Source organism: Homo sapiens, chromosome 7, assembly GCF_000001405.40.
Source record: "Homo sapiens chromosome 7, GRCh38.p14 Primary Assembly".
In the NCBI taxonomy this organism is placed as follows: domain Eukaryota; kingdom Metazoa; phylum Chordata; class Mammalia; order Primates; family Hominidae; genus Homo; species Homo sapiens.
Genome location: NC_000007.14, coordinates 29,537,512 through 29,561,463, shown reverse-complemented (window position 1 = coordinate 29,561,463; position 23,952 = coordinate 29,537,512). Strand labels below are relative to the sequence as shown.

The 23,952-nt window shown below is 38.9% G+C and overlaps 1 long non-coding RNA gene and 1 pseudogene across 4 annotated transcripts in view; one reads left to right on the top strand and one right to left on the bottom strand.

The window, feature by feature from the left end:
- Positions 1–23,952, top strand: part of PRR15-DT (PRR15 divergent transcript) — a 53,507-nt gene that overhangs the window by 2,228 nt on the left and 27,327 nt on the right. The window lies entirely within an intron of this gene.
- GTF3C6P3 (GTF3C6 pseudogene 3) lies at positions 9,240–9,954 on the bottom strand (annotated as a pseudogene).

The window sequence follows — 23,952 nt, the reverse complement described above, 5'->3', positions numbered from 1 at the left end:
TGATCTGAGTGAGGAGAGGGAGCTGAAGCTGGAGAGGTGGGTGTGACCAGAACATTCAGGACCACAACCCACTAAAGAGGAAGAACATGGTAAGATTCGCAGTTAAATGTTGTGCAGTGGTGTATAAAGAATGAATGGGGCTGGGCGCGATGGCTCATGCCTGTAATCTCAGCACTTTGGGAGGCCGAGGCAGGTGAATCACGAGGTCAAGAGATTCAGACCATCCTAGCCAACATGGTGAAACTCTGTCTCTACTAAAAATACAAAAATTAGCTGGGTGTGGTGGCGTCCTTCTGTAGTCCCAGCTACTCAGGAGGCTGAGGCAGGAGAATCGCTTGAACCCGGGAGGTGGAGGTTGCAGTGAGCCGAGATCGCGCCACTGCACTCCAAGCCTGGTGACAGAGTGAGGCTCCATCTCAAAAAAGAATGGGCCAGGCGCAGCAGCTCACATCTGTAATCCCAGCACTTTGGGAGGCTGAAGTGGGAGGATTGCTTGAGCCCAGGTATTTGAGACCCGCCTGGGCAACATGGGGAAACCCCCATCTCTACAAAAAAAACAGAAGAAATTAGCTAGGTGTTGTGGTGTGAGCCCGTAGTCCCAGGTGCTTAGGTGGTGAGGTGGAAGGATCACTTGGGCCCAGGAGTTCCAGGCTGCAGTGAGCTATGATTGCACCACTGCACTCCAGCCTGGGCAACAGAGAAAGACTTAAAAAAAAAAAAAAAGTGGATGGTAGAGGGGACAAAATGGGGCAATCAGGATACCAGTTAGGAACTGTTGGGAGACTTTAGGTGGGATATTCTGAAGCCTGTAGTACAGTGGTGGGAGTTGATTTGGTGGGGGATGAAGATAATTAGGTGGATGCAACAGGAATGTTGGAGATAGAATCAACAGGGCACTATTTCATTTAATTCCTACAAATAAGGAGATTGAGTTTGACTAGAAGCTGAGAAGGGAAATACTTTCACAGCCTTCCCTGTGACTAGGAGTGGCCATAGTGATTCAGTTTTGGCCTATGGGGCTATAAGGAAGACTTCTGGAAATGCTTCTTTTCCAGATAAAGGACAGAACCTCCTGAGAGAACATCTTTTGCCACACCCTTGATGCTTGCATTTAAGCACAGCATGAGGATGTGACGTCTGGTGTGACAGCAGCCAGTGAGGCAGCAGGGATGGGAATAGGACACGTCATGCTAAGGATGATGGCATGGGAGTGTGGAAGTGTCTAGGTCCTCGATTACACCATCCATTCCCTGAAGGAACCCTGGAACCACCTACCTGTGGACTTTTAGTTCAGTGAGATCGTACATATCCCTGTGGTTTAACCACAGATTTAAACACAGTTTTCTGTTACTTGTAGCCAAACCCATTCCTACTTGGTAAGGACTATTTTAGTTAGAGGAAGAGACGATATTGTCCAAAAGGGAAAAAAGCTAATATTGCCACATTTTTTTGGACTAATATGAAAAGTTCTTCCCAGAAGGAGGATTTAGTGAAATGTTAAAGTGATGGGCAAGTTTTTAGAGGCAGAGAATGCATCTGTAAAATTTTGAGTTAAGGGAATGGGTAGATAAAACATATGTATAGTGCATGGATAAGTAAACTGGGGGTAAGACCAAAAGGTGAGGTTCATCAGATTATCTGAGATATCAGTGTAATTTGACTTTTAAAGACAGTGTTAAACAATTAAGACTTATTTTTCTCCATTTTTGCATCTAGAACTGTTTTAATCTCTCCCCACCAAGACACACACACACACACAAATGGTTAGTATTACAAGTATAGTTGTGTTCTGTAACTATTGATCTGGGAATCATATTGTTTGGTTCTACAAGGAGGACATGGTCTGGCCCTACAGCTCTGTATTGTTAAGCTAGACATCTTACATGATAGATGCATTTAAAAGTTGATTCATCTATTTAGTTAATAGTAGATGACTTTTAATGTTACAATATTGACATATGCTTTAACTGGACAATGCTTACATTTCTTAATTTATCTTGTCATTATTTTTCAAAAATGCATTGATGATTTGGGTGAGGACACATTTTTTCTTTTTCTTTTAAAAAATTAGCACCAGGCCTGGTGGCTCATGCCTGTAATCCCAGCACTTTGGGAGGCCGAGGCAGGCAGATCACCTGAGGTCGGAAGTTCAGGACCAGCCTGACCAACATGGAGAAACCCTGTCTCTACTAAAAATACAAAATTAGCCGGGTGTGGTGGTGCATGCCTGTAATCCCAGCTACTTGGGAGGCTGAGGCAGGAGAATCACTTGAACCTGGGAGGCGGAGGTTGTGGTGAGCCAAGATCACGCCATTGCATGCCAGCCTGGGCAACAAGAGAAAAACTCCATCTCAAAAAAAAAATTGCTTCTTTTAAAAAATTAAATTGAACCTTTAAGTGCAATAAATATTTATACTCAAAGACAATAGAGAAGGAATTATTAGAGGACAAGCATTGCACTAGCAATTAAAATCAGATTTTTACAGGTTAACATGGCATCTGCTCTCTTAGCAAATCTGGCATTGAATGGTAGGTTGAGAAATGTATTATCTTCCTTTGAAGCATCTGTATTGGGAACTAGGCAAAGAGAAAAACAAGATGAGAAATTTAAAGAAATATAGAAATCTAGCTAATCAAAATGAAGAAAATAAGAATCACCTATGTTCTTTTCATTCAGGGATGAGCCTGGTTAATGTTTTGGTGTTAGTCCTTTTGAGCTTTTTGCCACTTGTTTTCATGTTTACTCTTTTCATTTTTTCCTTTCCCTCCCTTTCTTCATTCCTTTCTTCTATGGACTCCTCCAGCTTTTGGAAATTACGCATGTATCTCTCCTGTCCTTTTTCTTTATAGTCATCAATGTATGAGTACTTTACGATTTCTTTTCTTCTTTCTGTGTATATGCATCAGTGTTGTGGATTTAGAGAGTGGGGATTTTACCCATGCATGAAATTGGAATCCACTTTTTACAGCATCTCATCCTGTACCTTGTCAGGTTAACACACATGCACATCTAGAAGTTCAAAAATTATAGTCACAAAACATTACTAATTATTTCAGTTCTACACATTTTCCCTGAGTACTACTTGACCTAAGCAAGGCTGATTTCTTTGCCCAATGCCACCTTTCTCTGCAATTCATCAACACCAGCTGACTCTTCCTGACCCCACTCCTAGTCCCTGTGTCTCACGAGCCCTTTCCCTGAATCATAGGTCTGCAAGTCATCAGCCTCCCTGTTCACCCGTCTTAACAAATGGTCATCCAGTGTCTGTGTGATCAGTGCTGGGAATGAGGAACTCACTATCTGCTGAGTCAGCTGTCCCACAGGCAAGGACTGGGAGATATCTGTTGGTGCCTCTTTCTTAGAGTAACAGCCCTCCTTGCCCCTCCTCCCCCTTCTCCATAGGAACCTATTGATATTTTTATTCGCCCTTTGTTAGTCCAACTCTCAGATGTGTCTTCTACACTTGCTGTCTCCATTTTCTCACCCAAACTCCAATCTGGCATCTGTACCCCTCTCCTTCTAACATGGTTTCTCTAGGGTCCCCGGGCTTATAGGACATTTATCAGTCCTCATCTTTTTGACCTATCTGCAACATCAACACTGCTGGCTCTTCCTGAAAACATTCACCGTTCTGTCTTTTCTTCTTTTTCTCTCTGGCTGCTGCTTTGTCTCCTTTCCCAGTCTATCCTCTCCTTTCCTGTCATATTATGAATAAAGCTAAGCTTTGGAGCTGTTACCATGAGACAGATACCATGGTAGGTGCTCTCCATGTATTATATAATCCTCTTAGCATCCATCCGCTATTTTACAGAGGATGTCAGTGGTACTCAGAGAGGGCAAAACAGCCTGTGGTTAGTAGAGCCAGGATCCAAAATCAGGCAACCTGACTCCAGAGCTCAAGCTTCTTAACACTTCAGGATGTTAGAGTTCTTGAGGTTCAGTCCTAAGTCCTTTTCTGGTCATCGTTGCTATGCCCATGGCTTCAGGTTTTATTTCTGTGAAGATGACTTTTGAATTTATATCTTTAGCTTGGGCTTCTCTGAATTCCAGGTCTAAGTATTTAACTAGTTCTTTGACATTTCTGCTTGACTGTCTTAAAGGCACATAAAGCTAAATAAGTGTAAAATAGGGTGTCCCAACATTGTCTCCTCTTCTGCTACCTGCCCTTATTGCAGGTCTAAGTGACTGGTACCACATCTAGCCAGTAATGCAAACCAGAAACTAAGGTGTCTGTCTTGTCCATTTGGGCTGTTATAGCAAAATACCAAACACTGGCTGGTTTACCAACAATAGAAATTTTTTTCTCACAGTTCTGGAGGCTGGGAATTAAGGTACCGCCAGATTTGGTGTCGGGTGAAGACCCATGTTCTGATTCATAGACGGCTGTCTTCTTGCTTTGTCTTCACAAAGTGAAAAGGGTGAGGGAGCTCTTTAGGTTCTCCTTTATGAGGATACTAATCCCATTCATGAAGGCTCAGCTTTCATGATCTAATCCCCTCCCAAAGGCCTCGCCTCTAAATACCATTGCATTGGGGATTAAGTTTCAACGTAGGAACTTTGGGTGGACATAACCGTTCAGTCTATAGCAGTGTCCTTCTTGGTTTCTCCCTCTGCGGAGTCTCACATCCAGTGTGTCCTAAAGCCTGTCAACTCTCTTTCTTGAATGCCTCTTGCATCCAACTACCACCCTCCATTTCCGTTGCTTCTCTGTAATCTAAACTATCATCTCTCAATTGCAACCACAAAAACAACCTAACTTGAAACCCTCTGTCCACTTTTGCCCTGCTTCATCCTGTATCTTATGGTACCCAGAGTAACAATTTAACCTTATCTCCCTGCTTATAACCCCACAACAATGCCCCCTTGCATGTGGGATAAGAAGTGACATCACTCATAAAGTCCTATATAATTATATATGACCTATATAACCTAATTCTTCAGCCCCACCTCAATCCTCTCTTCCCCTCCAGCCACAGTGACCTCTGTCACCCTCAGTGAAACATTCCTTGACAATCCCCTTACCCCCAACGAAACCATATGGTACTTCCATAGCATAATTATTTAATGAAGATTGCTGTTCTTTATTCAGTGGTTTACACTTATTCTATTTTTGCTGTTTATTCCTTCTTGTATCTCGTAGTTTCTATCTGAGAATACTTCTCTCTGAAATACATCCTTTAGATTTTCTTTAAGTGAGGATTGGCTGGTGGTGAGCTCTTTTTAGCTGCTGTCTGATATTTTGTCCTAATACTGATATGATATTTTTGTTGTGTATAGAATTTTAGGTTGGCAGTTATTTTCTTTTAGTACATTGAATATACATTATTTCACTGTCTTTAGGCTTACATTATTTCTGCTGAGAGGTCAGCTGTCAATTTGTCCCTCTTTTGAAGGTGACCGGTACTTTCTTTTTTCCCTCTGCTGCTATTAAGATATTTTTTCTCCTTGCCTTAGGTTTTCTTTAGTATCACTGTAATGTGTCTAAGTATGGATTTCTTTTTATTTTTATACCGTTTGGGATTATATGCTGCTTTTTTTCCCTTCAGAATTTAAGACTTTATTTTCCTCTTCAATTTAAAGTAGAAGTACATTATAGTGTAGATCAGTTTCTTTTGCATAATTACTCATTTCAAGAATCTTCCACTTCTTTATACTTTCTTTAAAAAAAAAAGAGACAGGTGTCTTGCTGTGTTGCCCAGCTGGTCTTGAACTCCTGTCCTCAAGCAATCTTCCCACCTTGGCCTCTCAAAGTGTTGGGATTACAGGAATGAACTACTGTACCTGGTCTGCTTTTTAATATTTTTCATGTTTTTAAAAATACATATGTTGCAATTAAGATTAAGTTTGGCTATTAAAGAGTGACTTAAGAGAGTAGGTCATTTCTCTCTCATGTAAAAGAAGGCCAGAGGTAAGCAGTGGCAATTTCTTTTCTGCCTCAGCAGCAGCAGTAGTCACAGGTTTAGAATGACATTGACACTCACAGGACCCAATAAGCCTTGTGGCATCCAATTTGACACCCTGTTCATTTAACTTTGCAAGATACAGAACAAGAAACAGCACAACAACATGGCAGCATGAGGCTTATTTCAGCAGAAGGCTTTACTCCAGCCTGCCAAGTGTCAGCTCAGGTATAAGGAAACAAGATCATCCGGTGGGTGCAGAAGCCACCTGGCTTGGAAGCTTCATGCTCCATGAGAACTAATACCTGTTGAGATAGCCCATGACTGTAATTTCCAGGAATCTTTGCAATGAGGAACACTACGCTTAAGGAATCTCAAAACTCATGTTTTTCAATGGGCACTTATAGTACGTGTCATAGTCTTCTTGGTCCAGATACAGTTTACCAATAAGGGATCATCTTTAATCATGAAGATGATCCAGTATTGCCTAGTATCACAGTTGACATTCCATTATTACCTTGCCTAGTAGGCTTCCAGAGAAATGATGATGAAAGGCAAAGTCATTTTACCAGGGAAGAGAAAGGGTTTTGTTAACCCTTTACTCAGAGCAGTCCAGGGCAGTCTCACATAATCTGGACCCAATCTTCTCTCCTGCTGCTCTGCCACTCAAGGGTTTATTTCCAAGGTTGCTTTAAAGTCCAAGAATCCTGCTGGAGTTCTAGCCACCACATCCATGTTCTAGCAGAAAGAAAGAGAAAATGAGCCTACCTACTTCCTCTTATGCCTTTAAGTTTAAGGAAACTTTCTGGAAGCATCACTCAACACCTCTTATTTTTTTCTTGAGACAGGGTCTCACTCTGTTGCCCAGGCTGGAGTGCAGTGGTGCAATCACAGCTCACTGCAGCCTCAACCTCCCACGCTCAAACAATCCTCCTACTTTAGCCTCCAGAATAGCTGGAACTACAGGCGTGCCCCACTATGCCTGGCTAATTTTTGTATTTTTTGTAGAGACAGGGTTTCGCCATGTTCCCTAGGCTGGTCTTGAACTTCTGAGCTCAAGTGTTCTGCTCATCTTGACCTCCCAAACTGTTGAGATTACAGGTGTGAGCCACCGGGCCTGGCCCAACACTTCTAATTCCATGTCAATGGCCAGAACTTAGTCATATGGCCACATGAATCTATGGGGAAAGTGGGCACATTGCTAGTCTGAATAAGTTCTGGGATTCTGTTACAAAAAAAACCAGGGAGAACAGATAATTGAGTCAGGCAGTTAGCAGTCTCTCCTATACATATATATGGTGGGAACAATAGCTTCTTATTAAATGCTGACATTAGGCTAGGCAAAGTGGCTCAAGCTTGTAATCCCAGAGCTTTGGGAGGTTAAGGTGGGAGGATTGCTTGAGGCCAGGAGTTCAATACTAGCTTGGGCAACATAGTAAGACCCTGTCTCTACAAAAAAAATAAATAAAAAAAAAAAAAAAGAAAGAAAAAATTAGCTGGCATGATGGCATGCACTTGTACTTCCCAGCTACTCGAGAGGCCAAAGCAGGAAGATTGCTTGAATCCAAGAGTTCAGGCTTCAGTGAGCTATGATGGCACCGCTGCACTCCAGCCTAGGTGACACAGTGAGACCATGTCTCAAAAAAAAAAAAAAAATGCTGGTATGGTTTGGCTGTGTCCCCACCCAAATCTCATCTTGAATTTTAGCTCCTATAATCCCCACATGTGGTGGGAGGGACCTGGTGGGAGGTAATTGAATTATAGAGTGGGTTTTTCCTGTGCTGTTATTATGATTGTGAATAAGCCTCATGAGATCTGATGGTTTTATAAAGGGCAGTTCATCTGCACATGGTCTCTTGCCTGCTGCCATGGAAGATATGCCTTTGTTCCTCCTTCACCTTCCATCATGATTGTGAGGCCTCCCCAGTCATGTGGAGCTGTGAGTCCATTATACCTCTTTTTCTTTATAAATTACCCAGTCTCAGGTATGTCTTTATTCGTAGTGTGAGAATGGACTAATACAAAAGCTGAGACTAAAAAAGTCGTATAAAACTTGGGAAGATATATGTGCTTATGATTTGAAAATGCTTTTTATCAAGGTAAGTTGTTTTCCAATTAAATACAAGATTTTTTTGAAGAAACAAATTCCTCCTCCAGAACATTAGTTCTCTAACCCGTTAAAATAGTTACATCTCCATCAATTGTGAGATGTGATTAATGTGAGGTGTGTTTTAACTATTAATTTCACCTAGGCTAAACTAGGTGAAATTGCTGTTTTTTTGTAGTCAGATACAAATATTGACAATTTAATACAGCTCAACCTATAATACTGTATCTATATTTGTGAATAATTTACTTAAAAATACAAATTATCACAGATTTAGGTTACTGCCCTAATAAAATCAAGATTACAGTTGAATTCCAGCAATCTTGCTCTAGTGAAAAAAGAGTGGATTGACAGCTGGAATATTAGGAATTGTACCTTTATCTTTAAGCACTTCAAAATTCTTTTTCTGTTTCTAGATAAAATACATATTATAGTAGACTGAAAAATGGTCTCCCAAAAGATTTCCATGCCCCAGTCCCTAGTTTTATGCCTGTATATGTTATAAATTATGCAGCAAAAGAGACTTTGCAGATGGAATTAAGGTTATAGACCTTAAAATAGAGAAATTATTCAAGTGGGCCCAATGTAATCATAATCAAATGGACCTTTAAAAGTGGAATAGAAGACAAAAGGGTAGGTCAGAGAGAGGTATGATGAGGAAGTAACAGGAAAGGGGACATGACCCACCATTGCTAGCTCTGAAGAAAAGGAGACCATGAGCCAAGAAATGCGGGCAGCCTCTGGAAGCTAGAAATGGCCCTCCGCTGGCAGACAGCAAGGAAATGAGACTTTGATTCTTCAACTGTAAAGAACTGAATTCTGCCAACAACTGAATAAGCAAGGAAATGGATTTATGGCCCCCTAACCTGCCCCCAGCCTCCATAAAGGAATGCAGTCCTGCCAGCATCTTGAATTTAGCTCAGTTAAGACCAGTGTCAGATTTCCGACCTACAAAACTATGATGATACATTTTGTTGTTTTCAGCCACGGAGTTTGTGGTCATTTGTAACAGCTACAATAGAAAACTTATGTACTTACCTTAGTAAAACCTTGAATTTAAAGGACTCATCAGAGAACTGTCCCTAAAGTCATTTAAGCTGAATTTTAAAAAATTCAATTCATGTCTGGTCCTGAATGATTCTGGTAAAATAAGCTGTGATGTGACTGGATATGTGTGTATAGCCAACAAAACACAATAAAATAGTGAACAGCTGAAAGCTATACAGCTGGATATCTTTATATAAGAACACCAGAAAGCTCATAATGCATTATTATGAGAAACATTTCATTAGGAGTGACTTCTAAGGCAGCATCTTAAGTTTCTATAAACACAGAAGCTTCTGTCTCAGAAGGGATGTCATGAGGAGGACCAGAATCCTCTATGTCCACTTGCAGTGGCTTCTCCTGTTCACAACTCAGGTTTGAACTGTCTTTCATTTGAATCTTCCTTCCAATTCCAAAGGTTTATCTGAGGCCAAAGCTATCACTTCTTCATCTTCATTTTTATGTAGAAAGCTACAAATCATGTTGGGTCTAGAGGAGAAATCCTTATCCTTGATTTACAGCCATTCCACCTCACCTGTTTTCTCCTCCTTCCTTCTCTGTCAGAAGAGTTCTTGTCATGCTGACATCTTCCATGTATGGCACTTGTATTTTAGCACTGTGTACTCCTTGCCCTCTCTATCCACATGTTCAACATTTTCTTCAAATGTGACACACGTCCCAAGAGTGTCTTCAGACTCCCCAGCCAAGACATAGCTGTCCACTTGCAGAAAGGGCCTCTTGGTGTCAATTCTCAAAATTTTGCATTTATTTTCACATTTCGAGAGAAAGTCTGAATCAATAATTCCTGATAATTCCATGAGAACTAACTGTTCTCCCTCCTCCTTCATCCTCTTCTCCATCCTCTGGATTCTGTTCCTCTGCTACTGCCATGGTCCCACAGCTCTGGATTATAGGCTTCTTATTTCAGTTTTAGAAAATTTTCAACTATTATCTCTTCAAACATACTCTCTTCCCCATTCTATTCTTTATTTTTATTTTTTATTTTTTATTTTTTTTGAGACAGAGTCTCACTCTTCCACCCAGGCTGGAGTGTAGTGGCGCGATCACGGCTTACTGCAGCCTCGACCTCCTGGGCTCAGTCGATCTTCCCACCTCAGCCTCCTGAGTAGCTGGGACTACAGGCACAAGGCGCCAAACCTGGCTAATTTGTTGTACTTTCTGTAGAGACAGGGTTTTGCCATGTTGCCCAGGCTGTTCTTGATCCCCTTGGACCAAGCAATCTGCTAGCCTTGGTCTCCCAGAGTGCTGGGATTACAGGTGTGAGACACCCAGCCTGGCCCTCTTTCTTTTCTTTTTCTGGAATCCCAATTAGACATTTGTTACACCTTCTCAGTCTCCCCTACCATGCTTCTTAACCTACTCTTTTTTATTTTTTGCCTTCTTTGATGCATTCTAGAGAATTCTTTCTGATCTATGTGACAGTTCATTAATTCTGTCTTCTGCTGCATCTAAACATCTGTTAAATTCCTTCATTAATTTATACATTTTAACTTTTTCTTTTCTAAATGTTCTATCTAGTCTTATTTCAAATAGGACGCTATACTTTTCTATTCCTTGAAGATATTTTTAAACTTGTATTTTTAAACTTTAAACATACTAAACAGTTATTTTATAATCTTTGGCTGATACATTAAAAAATCTGAAGTCTTTGAAGGTGTTTCTTTGGTCTTTTTTTTTTTTTTCCTGCCAGTTTCCACTCATAGGGTCTTGTTTCTTGATATTCTTAGATACTATTTTGTGTTCCTCATTCTACTTTAAAAATTATTTTTGGAAAATTTAAGGCCTAAGACAAAGGTGACTTACTCTAGAAAGGATTTTCAAGAGGTTAGGGGAGTTACCAGACATGAACACTGAGTTCGTGGCTTGAGGTTTCTTGGACAAAACAACTGATCCATAGGAGCACTGCTAGCCCATAGTCACCCTCCCAGGGATCAGTCCATTCATTTTTCCCTCCCCTACAACCTCCTTTTTGTGCCAAAGTAACTTAACTGTCTGTGCAGTCTTGTGGGTGGATATGGGTATGGTTTACTTCTGGTTTGCCTATACCCTGATTTAGGAGAATCTCCTATTAATCTATTTTTGGTTAACCTTGGGTTTAATTGGTCGCTTTTGCTCCAGGGACTGTCAAAACTGGAGTTGTTTCTGTGCCCAGTTCTCAGCAGGAGAATTCATCCAAATAACCTAGCCTGCCACTGATAGAAATGAGTGTGTTTTAATTCTATTGTAAATGGTTTGCTTGGTGTTTGTCCCATTGACTATAATTTTCTTATTTATTTGTTTATTATGAGACTCCCTCACTAGAAAGTGAGTTTCATTTTTAATGATCATTTACATGATGTTTCCTATGTATCAGGTACAGCTCCATGATAAACTGTAAACATAAAACATAATGTAAACATTATCTCATTTAATGTTCCTAAAAGCCCTCTGAAACAGACACTATTATTATAACAGGTGAGGAAACTGAGACATCAAGAACTTACTTTATGTTCCTAAGGCCACACAGCTGGGAAGCTTAAAGGACCAGCGTCTGACCCCAGAAAGACTGGCTTCCAAGTCCCGGGACCTAACTAATCACTGTGCTGTGTGTTTCTCCATGAGTGCTAAGACATCTCATTGATGAATCTTTAGCACCTGGTGTGGCACCCAGCAATAATGGTTTTCAGTATTGTTGAATGAGATACCATAGAATGCATACAAATCAATGCTTCATTGATTATAACACTACTGACTTGTAAAAGCAAATGTAATAAAAATGGCAAAGAATACAATCCAATTTGTCATTACTTGTAATAATAGCTTGATTTTCTTTAATTCTGAAATGTGAGTACAACATGTAAACCAAAGTATCTGATACATTTTTGTTTTGTTGTTACCACATTGGAAGAATATTATATTGTAATGCCTTTGAAGGAGATAAAGTTGGGTGATAGGATACAGATGGGGCATATTGTAATGCCTTTGAAGGAGATAAAGTTGGGTGATAGGATACAGATGGGGCAGAATAATGACCTATCAGAGAATGGCTGCTGAGATTTTCTTAAATATTGTACTTAGGGAATAAATGAACGACTTGGAGGGCATGAAATCCTCAAATAAGGCTTCACAACGTGTCCATACTCTCTTAGAAAACAAAGATAATTCAACTTAGTTATTTGTTAGAAAATCATTGATGTGAGTAGAAGTCACGTGTTACCCTCCAAGGCAATGTTCTCTAGCTGATCACCTGGTTCCAGGTCAAAGCTGGGGTAGCCTAGCTCCTTTAGAAGGTGACCTGCTACCTGCTGTTGTTAATATCCCTTTTCAAAGCACTGATTTGGTTATGCTCCATTTGCCAGGTCTTATTTTCTCTCTTGTGGTTTGTCGATGTGTCAGCACATTACGTCACAGGTGCACAGGTAGAAGGTAGATATCTGATGGAAGGGTAACATGATGCAGGAAGTGAATCTTTTGGTTTCCTAACCTGTATCAAGGCCAATGTCAGATGGACATAGTTGGCAGGACTTAAAACATGGCTGCTTTCCTAAGTCACAGGCTGTCGGGAGGCTCAAGCAAAGTTTTGGGAGCTCATCTTTGCTCAGTGCTACCACAGGTGAATCTCATACTGTGCACTCTCACTTAGCATCAGGCTCATGCATTTGGTGTAACTGTGCTTACCTAGAGAGAGGAGCTGCTTTAGCTGCACTGATAGACCTTTTATTATAATAGTACATTTTGAATTTTTACGATGGGTTTCCCACTTCTAATGGCCAGAGCTACCATAAGAGATAGGAACTACCAGTCCTACAGTTTTATCTGTGAAAGTTGAAGCCATTTGTTTACGGTTAAAGGACCAGAAGAGGTGGAGTTATGTTGGTTAGGTTTGTGTTACTCTGCCCCTGATATGGTGTTCTTCTAATATGGATATTCAAATCTCATGCTGGCGTTTAGTTAATCACCACATTAATAAACATTTGTTAGTATGAAGGCTATTACATCAAAAGAAATAGTAGTATTTTTAAAATTCTAGTAGATCATTGTCTTCTAAGTTTCTTACTGAAAATAATGTTAAGTCATATGTGGCTGCTTAAGTATTAAGCCCTATGGAATCATAGGGCACTCAAAACAAAGCTCAAATTAACTCTAGGAATTGTAATTACATACTTTTTTTTGTGGAAAGACTCGATGGTTGGTTTGAATTACTAGCTGTGTGGCTTTGGGAAAATTACTTAATATCTTTAGGCTCTGGTTTCCTTATCTGTAAAGTGGGTACGATACCATCTACTTTTCTGAGTGGTTGCCAGAATTAAAGTACACAATGCATTTATTAAAGTCCCTAGCACAGTACCTGACACATAATAAGCACCAGTAAATGTCCATTTCTCTTTGACTAATGTCTTTCATTGGCTGTGTGGGAAAAGTATGTGAACAAACTCTATACATCAATCCATTCTAAGTGCTTTTTGGAAGTAATGGTAGAAAGTCTTACAGAACACTGTCATTATTGTAGTTTGGGGCCAGTTCCTCCCCGACTCCCAATAACATAACGTTAAAATTTACTGTAGAATATTTAATATACAACAACTTGCTATGAATCTGTTTTCAGCAACACAACAATTAAATCAAGCAGAAGTTTTCTGTATGTGATTCCAGAATGCTCTTTATCCTTTCAGCACTAAAATTGCATTACCTGTAGCTAAAGGAGGAAGTGTGCTCAGTTGAGCTTGAAAGCAGTGGTACGAGAAAAGGATTAGCAAATTGCACGACAAAGTCCTTAGAAGTAAGGTCACCACCAGACTGTAGCTGGGGCACAAGCCAGGGAATATGTTTAATATGTGCTGCTCCATTAGTTCCTGAAATCTTAAAACGTAACCTGCCTCAGTGAATCATAGCAGAAGGAGGAAAGCAACAGGAGCATCATGTCTCTGCTTTTTCAGACAACATAGCACTGATTTATTTTCAAAAATTTTTTTAAATTAAAGTAACTTATGTACATAAGTTTAAAAGTCAAATGTTATTGAAGGGCTTGGAGCAAATTATGGGGGTTTCTCCTCATCCTTTCCCTCAGTCCTCTTCTGCCATTACTTCCAACAATCTCAGCTTTTTATTTCTGGCATTTACGCATCTCCGTATTTCTAAATTACACGTGTGTCATGCTTTCTTTTGATTTATCAATATGAGCCATTCTGTAAACATTCTATAATGATATTTAAGAGTTTAGTTTTCTCATACCACCACGACTTCTGCCTCCCTTCTCCCATATTCCCACTAGAGAATATATCACAACGTTTGCGTAATTGACTATTCCATGTTTATAATATTGTGCCCATGCAAATATTGCTTAGGCTAAGCACTGTAGTGTGTAGATGTATATTTACATTCTTTTTGTCTTTTTCTGAAGTTAATGATGTCTTTTTTTTTCCTTTCAGTTTGCTGGTCTTTGTCCCTATTTCTACCCCTTTCACACTTTACAATGGCTTCTTCATGCTCTTTTTCTTTTCTTTTTTTTTTTTCTACAAGTTCAATCACATCAATAATATACATGCTGCATTTTGGTTTTCTTAGAAGCATCACCCCCGAACACCTCTCTCTGGCCTGCTGCACAGCCTCCTCCTGGGAATTCCTTGAGTTGGGTTCTTTATTTCCTGGATTTTGAGCGTTGCTTGGTGGGCTTGCTCGTTCTGGTGGAGCATGTCATCAGATGATGCAGCAGCAGAAGACACGGTGGGGGCATCCTCAGTGTCTGTCTCTAGTCACACAGTGACTGGTCTGGACTGTTTGCCCTCCATGCTTAATACACAGCTACCCTCCTGGGATCTCCTTTTACCCTCATTTTCAAGAGTCCCTTTGTTTCCTCCCTGATCCTGAGTTTCTTTCTTTGTTTCTCACATCTCATGCCTTCCTGGCTTACTCCCTCTGTTATACTCTCTGTCTTGGTTTCTGGTTCATTCTCTCAGATTTACCTCTTCAGTAAAGATCCATCTTCTGTTTAATTGGTTCATTCGGTATTTCATTTCACTGGCTTTTGAAAAAATTATACTCATTTTCAACTTCTGTTTTATGTTTTTATTCTTCTGTTACAGTTTCTATTCTTTGGTTTGTCTCTTTAACCATTTCGAATGTATTTATCTTACAATATTTTAGATTATTGCTCATATACCTTCACTTAGTTGATGGCTAATTCTGCTGTATCTACTTACTATATTTACTGTTACCTGCTTTTTCTTGCTCATTTTTAAATTTATTTTTTACAGTTGATTTACATTTTTTTATTTTTAACTTTTGTGGGTACATAGTAGGTATATATATTTATGGGGTACATGAGATGTTTTGATACAGGCATGCAATATGTAATAATCACATCATGGAGAATGGGGTGATCCCCTCAAGCATTTATTTTATGTGTTACAAATAATCCAATTATATTCTTTTACTTATTTTTAAATATACAATCAAGTTATTGACTATAGTCACCTTGTTGTGTTGTCAAATAGCAGGTCTTACTCTTTCTATTTTTTTGTGCCCATTAACCATCCTCACCTCCCCCTCACCCCCCACCTACCCTACCCCTCCCATCCTCTGGCAATCTTCCTCTCTCTATGAGTTCAATTAATTTGATTTTTAGATCCCACAAATAAATGAGAACATGTGATGTTTGTCTTTCTGTGCCTGGCTTGTTTTATTTAACATAATGCCTTCCATTTCCATCCATGTTGTTGCAAACGACTGGATCTCATTCTTTTTTATGGCCCAATAGCACTCCATTGTGTATAAGTACCACATTTTCTTTATCCATTCATCATGGGTGCTTAGGTTGCTTCCAAATCTTGGCTGTTGTGAACAGTGCTGCAATAAACATGGGAGTGCAGAATATCTCTCCAATATACTGATTTCCTTTCTTTTGGTTATATAACGAGCAGTGGGATTGCTGGATCATATGGTAGCTCAACTTTTAGTTCTTTGAGGAGCTTCCAAACTGTTCTCCATAGTGATTATGCTAATTTACATTTTCACCAACAGTGTACAAGAGTTCCCTTTTCTCCACATCCTTGCCAGAATTTGTTATTGCCTGTCTTTGGGATAAAAATCATTTTAACTGGGGTGAAATGATATCTCATTGTAGTTTTCATTTGCATTTCTCTGATGATCAATGACATTGAGCACCTTTTCATATACCTGTTTGCCACTTGTATGTCTTCTTTTGAAAAACATCTATTCAAATCTTTTGCCCATTTTTGATTAGATTATTAGATTTTTTATAGAATTGTTTCAGCTCTTTTTTTTAGAGTTGTTTGAGCTCTGGTTATTAATTCCTTGTCAGATGGGTAGTTTGCAAATATATTCTCCCATTCTGTGGGTTGTCTCTTCACTTTGTTTATAGTTTCCTTTGCTGTGCAGACATTTTAAAAAACTTGATGTGATCCCATTTGTCCATTTTTGCCTTGGTTGCCTGTGCTTGTGGGGTAATACTCAAGAAATTTTTGCCCAGACCAATGTCCTGGAGATTTTTCCCAATGTTTTCTCGTAGTAGTTGCATAGTTTGAGGTCTTACATTCAAGTCTTTAATCCATTTTGATTTGATTTTTGTATATGGCTAGAGATAGGGATCTAGTTTCATGCTTCTGCATATAGTTATCCAGTTTTCCTAGCACCATTTATTGAAGATACTATCTTTTCCACAGTGTATTTTCTTGTCACTTTACTGTTCACTGTAGGTGTAAGTTCACTGTAGGTGTATGTACTGTAGGTGTAAGTTCACTGTAGGTGTATGCATTTGTTTCTGGGTTCTCTATTTTGTTCAATTGGTCTATGTGTCTGTTTTTATGCCAGTACCATGCTGTTTTGGTGACCATAGCTCTGTAGTATAATTTGAAGTCAGGTAATGTGATTCCTCCAGTTTTGTTTTTTGTTTTTGCTTAGGGTAGCTTTGGGTATTCTGGGTCTTTTGTGGTTCCATATAAATTTTAAGACTTTTCAATTTCTGTGAAGAATGTCATTGTTATTTTGATAGGGATTGCATTGAATCTGTAGATTGCTTTGGGTAGTATGAACATTTAAACAACATTGATTCCTAGAACATGGAATATCTTTCCATGTTTTGGTGTTCTCTTTACTTTTTTTCATCAGTGTTTTATAGTGTTCATTATAAAGATTTTTCACTTCTTTGGTTAATTCCTAAGTATTTCATTTTATTTGTGGCTATTGTAAATTGGATTACTTTTTTTAATTTCTTTTTCAGATTGTTCACTGGTGGCATATAGAAATGCTAATGATTTTTGTATGTTGATTTTGTATCCTTCAACTTTACTGAATTTATCAGTTCTAATAGTTTTTTATGGAGTCTTTAGGTTTTTCCAAATATAAGACCATATCATCTGAAAGCAAGGATAATTTGACTTCTTCCTTTCCAATTCCATGCTCTTTATTAATTTCTTTTGTCTGATTGCTCTATCTAGGACTTCCAGTACTATGTTGAATAACAATAGTGAAAGTGGGCATCCTTGTTGTGTTTCAAATCGTAAAGACTTTCAGTTTTTCCCCATTCAGTATGATACTATCTGTAGGTCTGTCATATATGGTTTATATTATGTTGAGGCATGTTCTTTCTATACACAAGTTTTATGAGGGCTTCTTTTTTTTTTAATCATGAAGGGATGTTGAATTTTATCAAATGCTTTACCAGAATCAATTGAAATGATCATATGGTTTTTGTCCTTCATTCTGTTGATATGATGTATTGCATCGATTGATTTGCATATGTTGAACTATCCTTGCATCCCAGGGATAAATCCCACTTGATCCTGATGAATAATATTTTTATGTATTGTTGAATTCAATTTGCTAGTATTTTGTTGAGGATTTTTGCATCAATATTCATAAGAGATATTGGCTTGTAGTTGTTTTTTTTTTTATGTGTCTGGTTTTGCTATCAGGGTAATACTGACCTCATTGAATGTATTTGGAAGTATTCCTTCCCCCTTCGTTTTTTGGAATAGTTTGAGTAAGATTGGTATTAGTTCTTTAAATGTTTGGTAGAATTCAACAGTGAAGCCATTGGGTCCCGGGCTTTTCTTTACTGGGAGACTTTTTACTACAGCTTCGATCTCATTACTTGTTATTGGTCTGTTCAGGTTTTGGATTTCTTCCTGGTTCAATCTTGGCAGGTTGTACATGTCTGGGAATTTGTCCATTTCTTCTGGATTTTCCAATTTATTGGCAAATTAGCCAATACATTTGTTGTTCCAATTTATTGTTCATAGTAGCCACTAATGATCCTTTGATTTTCTGTAGTATCAGTTGTCTCATTTTTTGTCTCTGATTTTATTTTTTTGGATCTTCTCTCTTTTTTCCTTAATTAGTCTGGCTAAAGGTTTGTCAATCTTGTTTTATTTTTCAAGAAACCAATTTTTTGTTTCCTTGATCTTCTATGTTGTTTCTTCATTTCAATTTCATTTATTTCTTCTCCAATCTTTATTATTTCTTTTCTTCTACTTATTTTGGGTTTTGTTTGCTCTTGCTTTTCTAAATCTTTTTTAATTTGAAAAGGAGAGGAGACTTTATTTCTTAATAAAGCGTCACAGCCTGCGAGATGCTTTTCTAGTTCTTCAAGATGCATTGTTGGCTTGTTTATTTGAAGTTTTTCTTTTTTGATGTAGGCACTTATAGCTATAAATTTTCCCCTTAGTACAGCTTTTACTGTATCCCACAGGTTCTGATATGTTGTGTTTTCATTATTTATTTCAAGAAATTTTTCAATTTCCTTTTTAATTTCTTTAATGACCCACTGGTCATTCACGAACATATTGTTTAATTTCCATGTATTTGTATAGTTTCCAAAATTTCTCTTGTTACTGATTTCTAGTTTTATTCCACTGTGGTCAGAGACAATACTTGATATTATTTCAATTTTTTTGAATGTTTTAAGACTTATTTTGTGACCTAACATATGATTTATCTTTGAGATTGATCCATGTACTGAGGAAAAGAAAGTGTATTCAGCCATTGGATGAAATGTTCTGTAGATATCTATTAGATCCATTTGGTCTATGGTGCAGACTGAGTTAAATATTTCCCTGTTGATATTCTGTCTGGAAGATCTGTCCAGTGCTCAAAATGGTGTATAGAAGTCTCCAGTTATTACTGTATTAGAGTCTCTCTCTCTTTCTCTTTAGCTGTAGTAATATTTGCTTTATATATCTGGGTGCTCCAGTGTTGAATGCATATACATTTAAAATTGTTATATCCTTTTGATAAGTTGACCCCTTTATCATTATATAGTGACCTTCTTTGTCTCTTATAGTTTTTGTCTTGAAATCCATTTTGTCTAATATAAGTGTCGCTACTCCTGTTCTTTTTTGCTTTCCATTGGCATGGAATATCTCTTTTCATCCCTTTATTTTCAGTCTATATGTGTCTGTATAGGTGAAATGTGTTTCTTGTGGGCAACAGATAAATGGGTCTTGTCTTTTTTAAATCCATTCAGCCACTCTATGTCTTTTGATTGGAGAATGTAATCCTTTTACATTCAATGTTATTATTGATAAATGAGGACTTATTTCTGCCATTTTGTGATTTGTTTTCTGGTTGTTTTGTGATCTTCTTGTCTTCCTTTAGTGAAGGTGATCTTCTCTGGTGATATGGCTTAGTTTATTGTTTTTTGTTTTTTGTGTATCTGTTATATGTATTTTAGTTTGAAGTTACCATGAGGCTTGCAAATACTATCTTATAGCTCATTATTTTAACAAATAATTTGTTTATACAAACACACTCATTATTTGTTTGTATAAACAAATAAGCAATAAGAAAACCAATAAAAACTTTATACCTTAACTTTGGTGCCCCACTTTTACCTTTTTATTGTTTCTATTTATACCTTATTGTACTGTCTATGTCTTGAAAAGCTGTTGTAGTTATTATTTTTGATTGGTTCATCATTTAGTCTCTCTTAGCTTAGAGTAGTTTACTCACTGCAGTTAGTGTTACAATGTTCTGTGTTTTTCTGTGTACTTGCTATTACCGGTGGATTTTGTACCTTCAGGTAATTAGTTATTGCTCATTAATGTCCTTTTCTTTATGATTGAAGTACTCCCTTTAGCATTTCTTGTAGGACAGATCTGGTGTTGATGAAATCCTTCAGCTTTTGTTTGTTAGGGAAGTCTTTATTTCTCCTTCATGTTTTAAGGATATATATAGATTTTATATATATATATATAGTTATATATGTTATATATATGTTATATACATTATATATAACTATATATGTTATATATATGTTATATATATATTATATATAACTATATATGTTATATATATGTTATATATATATTATATATAACTATATATGTTATATATAGTTATATATATTATATATATAACATATATATGTTATATATATTATATATAACTATATATATATTATATATATATAGTTATATATATATAATTTTTTTTTACCAGATATACAATTCTAGGGTAAAACTTTTTTTGCCTTCATCATTTTAAATATGTCATGCCACTCTGTCCTGGCCTGTAAGGTTTCCACTGAAAAGTCTGGACATATTGGACTTGATTGTGTGTCACTTGTTTCTTTTCTCTTGCCTCTTTTTGGATCCTTTCTATATATTTGATCTTTAGGCATTTGACTATTAAGTGCTTTGAGGTTTTCTTCTTTGGGTTAAATCTGCTTGGTGTTCTATAACCTTCTCGTACTTTGATATTGGTATTTTTCTCTAGGTTTGGAAAGTTACCTGTTATAATTCCTTTGAGAAAACATTCCAGCCCTATCTTTTTCTCTGCATCCTCTTTGAGGCCAATAACTCTTAGATTTACCCTTGTGAGGCTATTTTCTAGATCCTGTAGGCATGCTTTATTGTTTTCTTATCTTCTTTTGTCTCCTCTGATGTGTATTTTCAAATAGCCTGTCTTCAAGCTCATTAATTCTTTCGTTTGATCATTCCTGCTATTAAAAGAATCTGATGCATTCTTCAACATGCCAATTGCATTTTCAGCTGCAGAATTTCTGCTTGATTCTTTTATTTGTCTTTGTTAAATTCATCTAATAGAATTCTGAATTCTTTCTCTGTGTTATCTTAAATTTCTTTGAGTTTCCTCAACACAGCTATTTTGAATACTCTCTCTCTGAAAGGTCACATATCTCTGTTTCTCCATGATTGGTCCCTGATGCCTTATTTAGTTCATTTGGTGAGGTCATGTTTTCCTGGGCTGTCTTGATGCTTATAGATGTTCATCTGTGTCTACGCATTGAAGATTTAGGTATCTGTTACAGTCTTTGCCTTGTGAGTTTGTTTGTACCTATCCTTCTTGTGAAAGCTTTCTAGATATTCTAAAGGTCTTGGGTGTGGTGATCTAACTGCATCTTCTTTAGGGGGCACCCCAAGCCTGGTAATGCTGTGGTTCTTGCAGACTTGTACAGGTACTGCCTTGATGATCTTGGATAAGATCTGCAAGAATTATCTGGATTACTAGGCAGAGACTCTTGTTCTCTTCCCTTACTTTCTCCCAAACAAATGGAGTCTCTCTGTTCTGAGCCACCTGAAGCTGGGGGTGGAGTGACACAAGCATCCCTGTGGCCACCACCACTATGACTGTGCCAGGTCAGACTTGAAGCCAGCACAGCACTGGGTCTCACCCAAGGCCTGCTGTAACTACTTTCTGACTATTGCCTAAGTTTGCTCAAGGCCCTGGGGCTCTACAGTCAGCAGTTGGCAAAGCCAGGCCTGTGCCCTTCCCTTTAGCGTGGCGAGTTCCCCTAGGCCCCTGGGCAGGTCCTGAGGTGCAATCTGGGAATCAGAGACTAGAGTCAAAAACCATAGAAGTCTACCTGGTGTTTTATTGTAGTGTGGCTGAGCTGGCACCCAAACCACAAGATGCAGTCCTGCTCACTCCTTCCTCCCCTTTCCAAAGACAGAGGAGACTTAGCCCATGGCCACTGCCACCACAGGCCCATGGGGAGTAGAGCCAGACTACCACTGATGTTCCTTTAAGGTCCAAGGGCTCTTCATTCAGCTTGTGGTGAATGCTGCCTGGCCTGGGACTCACCCTTCAGGGCAGTGGGCTCCCCTCTGGCCCAGAGCAGGTCCAGAAATGCCATCCAAGAGCCAAATTCTGGAATTGGGGACCCCAGGAGCCTGGAGAGTATGCCTGTGACCAAGCTGGGACCTAAGTTGCAAGACAAGGTCCCCTTTGCTTTTGAGACAAGCAGAAGGAGTCTCACCCCATAGCCACCCCAAGCAGGAGTCTCACCCCATAACCACCACATCTGGGAATGTGCTGAGTCTCACCTGAAGCCAGTAAGTCTCAGAGTGTCACCCAAGGCCCTTGAGATAGTTCCTGGGTATTGCTGCTTGTTACTCAGGGCCTAGGAGCTCTTCAGTTAGAAGGTGATGAATGCTGCCAGTACTGTGTCCTGCCTTTCAAGGCAGCATGTTCCCTTCTGGCCCAGGTTGTGTCTAGAAAAGTCATCCATAAGCTAGAGCCTGGAATGGAGGCCTCATGACTCTGACCAGTGCCCTATTCTGCTGTGGCTGAGCTGGTATCCGAGATTTAAGACAAAGTCTTCCCCACTCCTCACTCTCCTCTCCTCAAATGGAAGTAAGGGAGCCGTGTGCTCTGCAGCCTGGGGTTAGGGGAGGGGTGATGCCCGCACTCCCTTAGTTGCTCCAGCTGCTGTCTCAGCAGGTCTCATACCCCATACCCAGTCTACTGGCTCTGGGCCCAGATCAGCACTAGGACTCGCCTAAAAGTTGCAGTCCTTGTGGCCTAGACTGCCTTTCACATGTATTTAGAGCCCCAGAGCACTGCTAGCCTGTCGTGATGAGATCTGTGGGAACTCAACTTCCAACTGCTAAGATTGGCGATTCCCCTCTGGCTAGAGCTGGTTTAAGTGCTCCCTCTGTGGGCAGGCATCAGCTGAGGTTTTCCTTTCTGCTATAAAGGGGCAGCAGTGAGTTCAATGTCTCACAATTGCTGCATTCTCCCTCTTCTAGCACACAGAAATGCTCTCCGCACCACACCGCTGCTGCCAGGGAGGGATTCAAGACTTTTTCCTACCTGTTCAGTGCCTCTTTCAGCCATACAGAGTTAAAGCCAGGTACTGTGAGTGCTCGCCTGATTTTTGTTCTTATAGCGTGTGTGTGTGTAGACAGTTGTTAAATTGGTGTCGTTTCATGGTGGTGAGGGTGCAATTGGTGGAGGCTTCTATTGTGCCATCTTGGTCTGCTTCCTCTTGCTCATTTTAGATCTTTTAATCAGTTGTGATTTTTTCACTGTGAGCTTATCTTCAGAGGGGCTAAGTTTTTCCCATGAGAGAGTTGCGTGGTCTGTATTAGTGCGTATCCTTCCTCTGCCAGCACCCAGAATATCAGTCCAGGACTAATTCTTGTGTTAGCTTCTCTACTTGGGCTTTCTCCTACAAAATGGGCAGTATAAATTAGGACTTCAAAGATGCGTAAGTTCTTGGTTTGATTTTACATGGAGAAATAATTTTTTTAAAAAATCCACCAGTACTCTTTTCGTCAAAGGGCTACATTTTCCTGGTCTTTATTTACCTAGGTGGCAGTTCTTTTAGAAGATCCTGGCTTTATGCAGTGGTTTCAGTTCCATGTTCATACTTGGTACAGACCTAAATTTCATCTCCTGTTAAAAACTAAGCTCTTAGTTGTGAATTGGGTCAAAACTGCCCCATGCCCCACCATGGGTGCTCCTGCAGAGTCGGCTTAATCACCTCCCATACTGGATTTCATTTCTGTCTGGGATACTGGGATTCACTTTCTTTCTTATGGAATTAACTGTGCAGTTAGTTTTTAAATTATATTTTGTTCAACATTTTTAGATATTGGTAATAGGAGAATTTTTATGTTTCACTGTTTTTACTTTCTTCA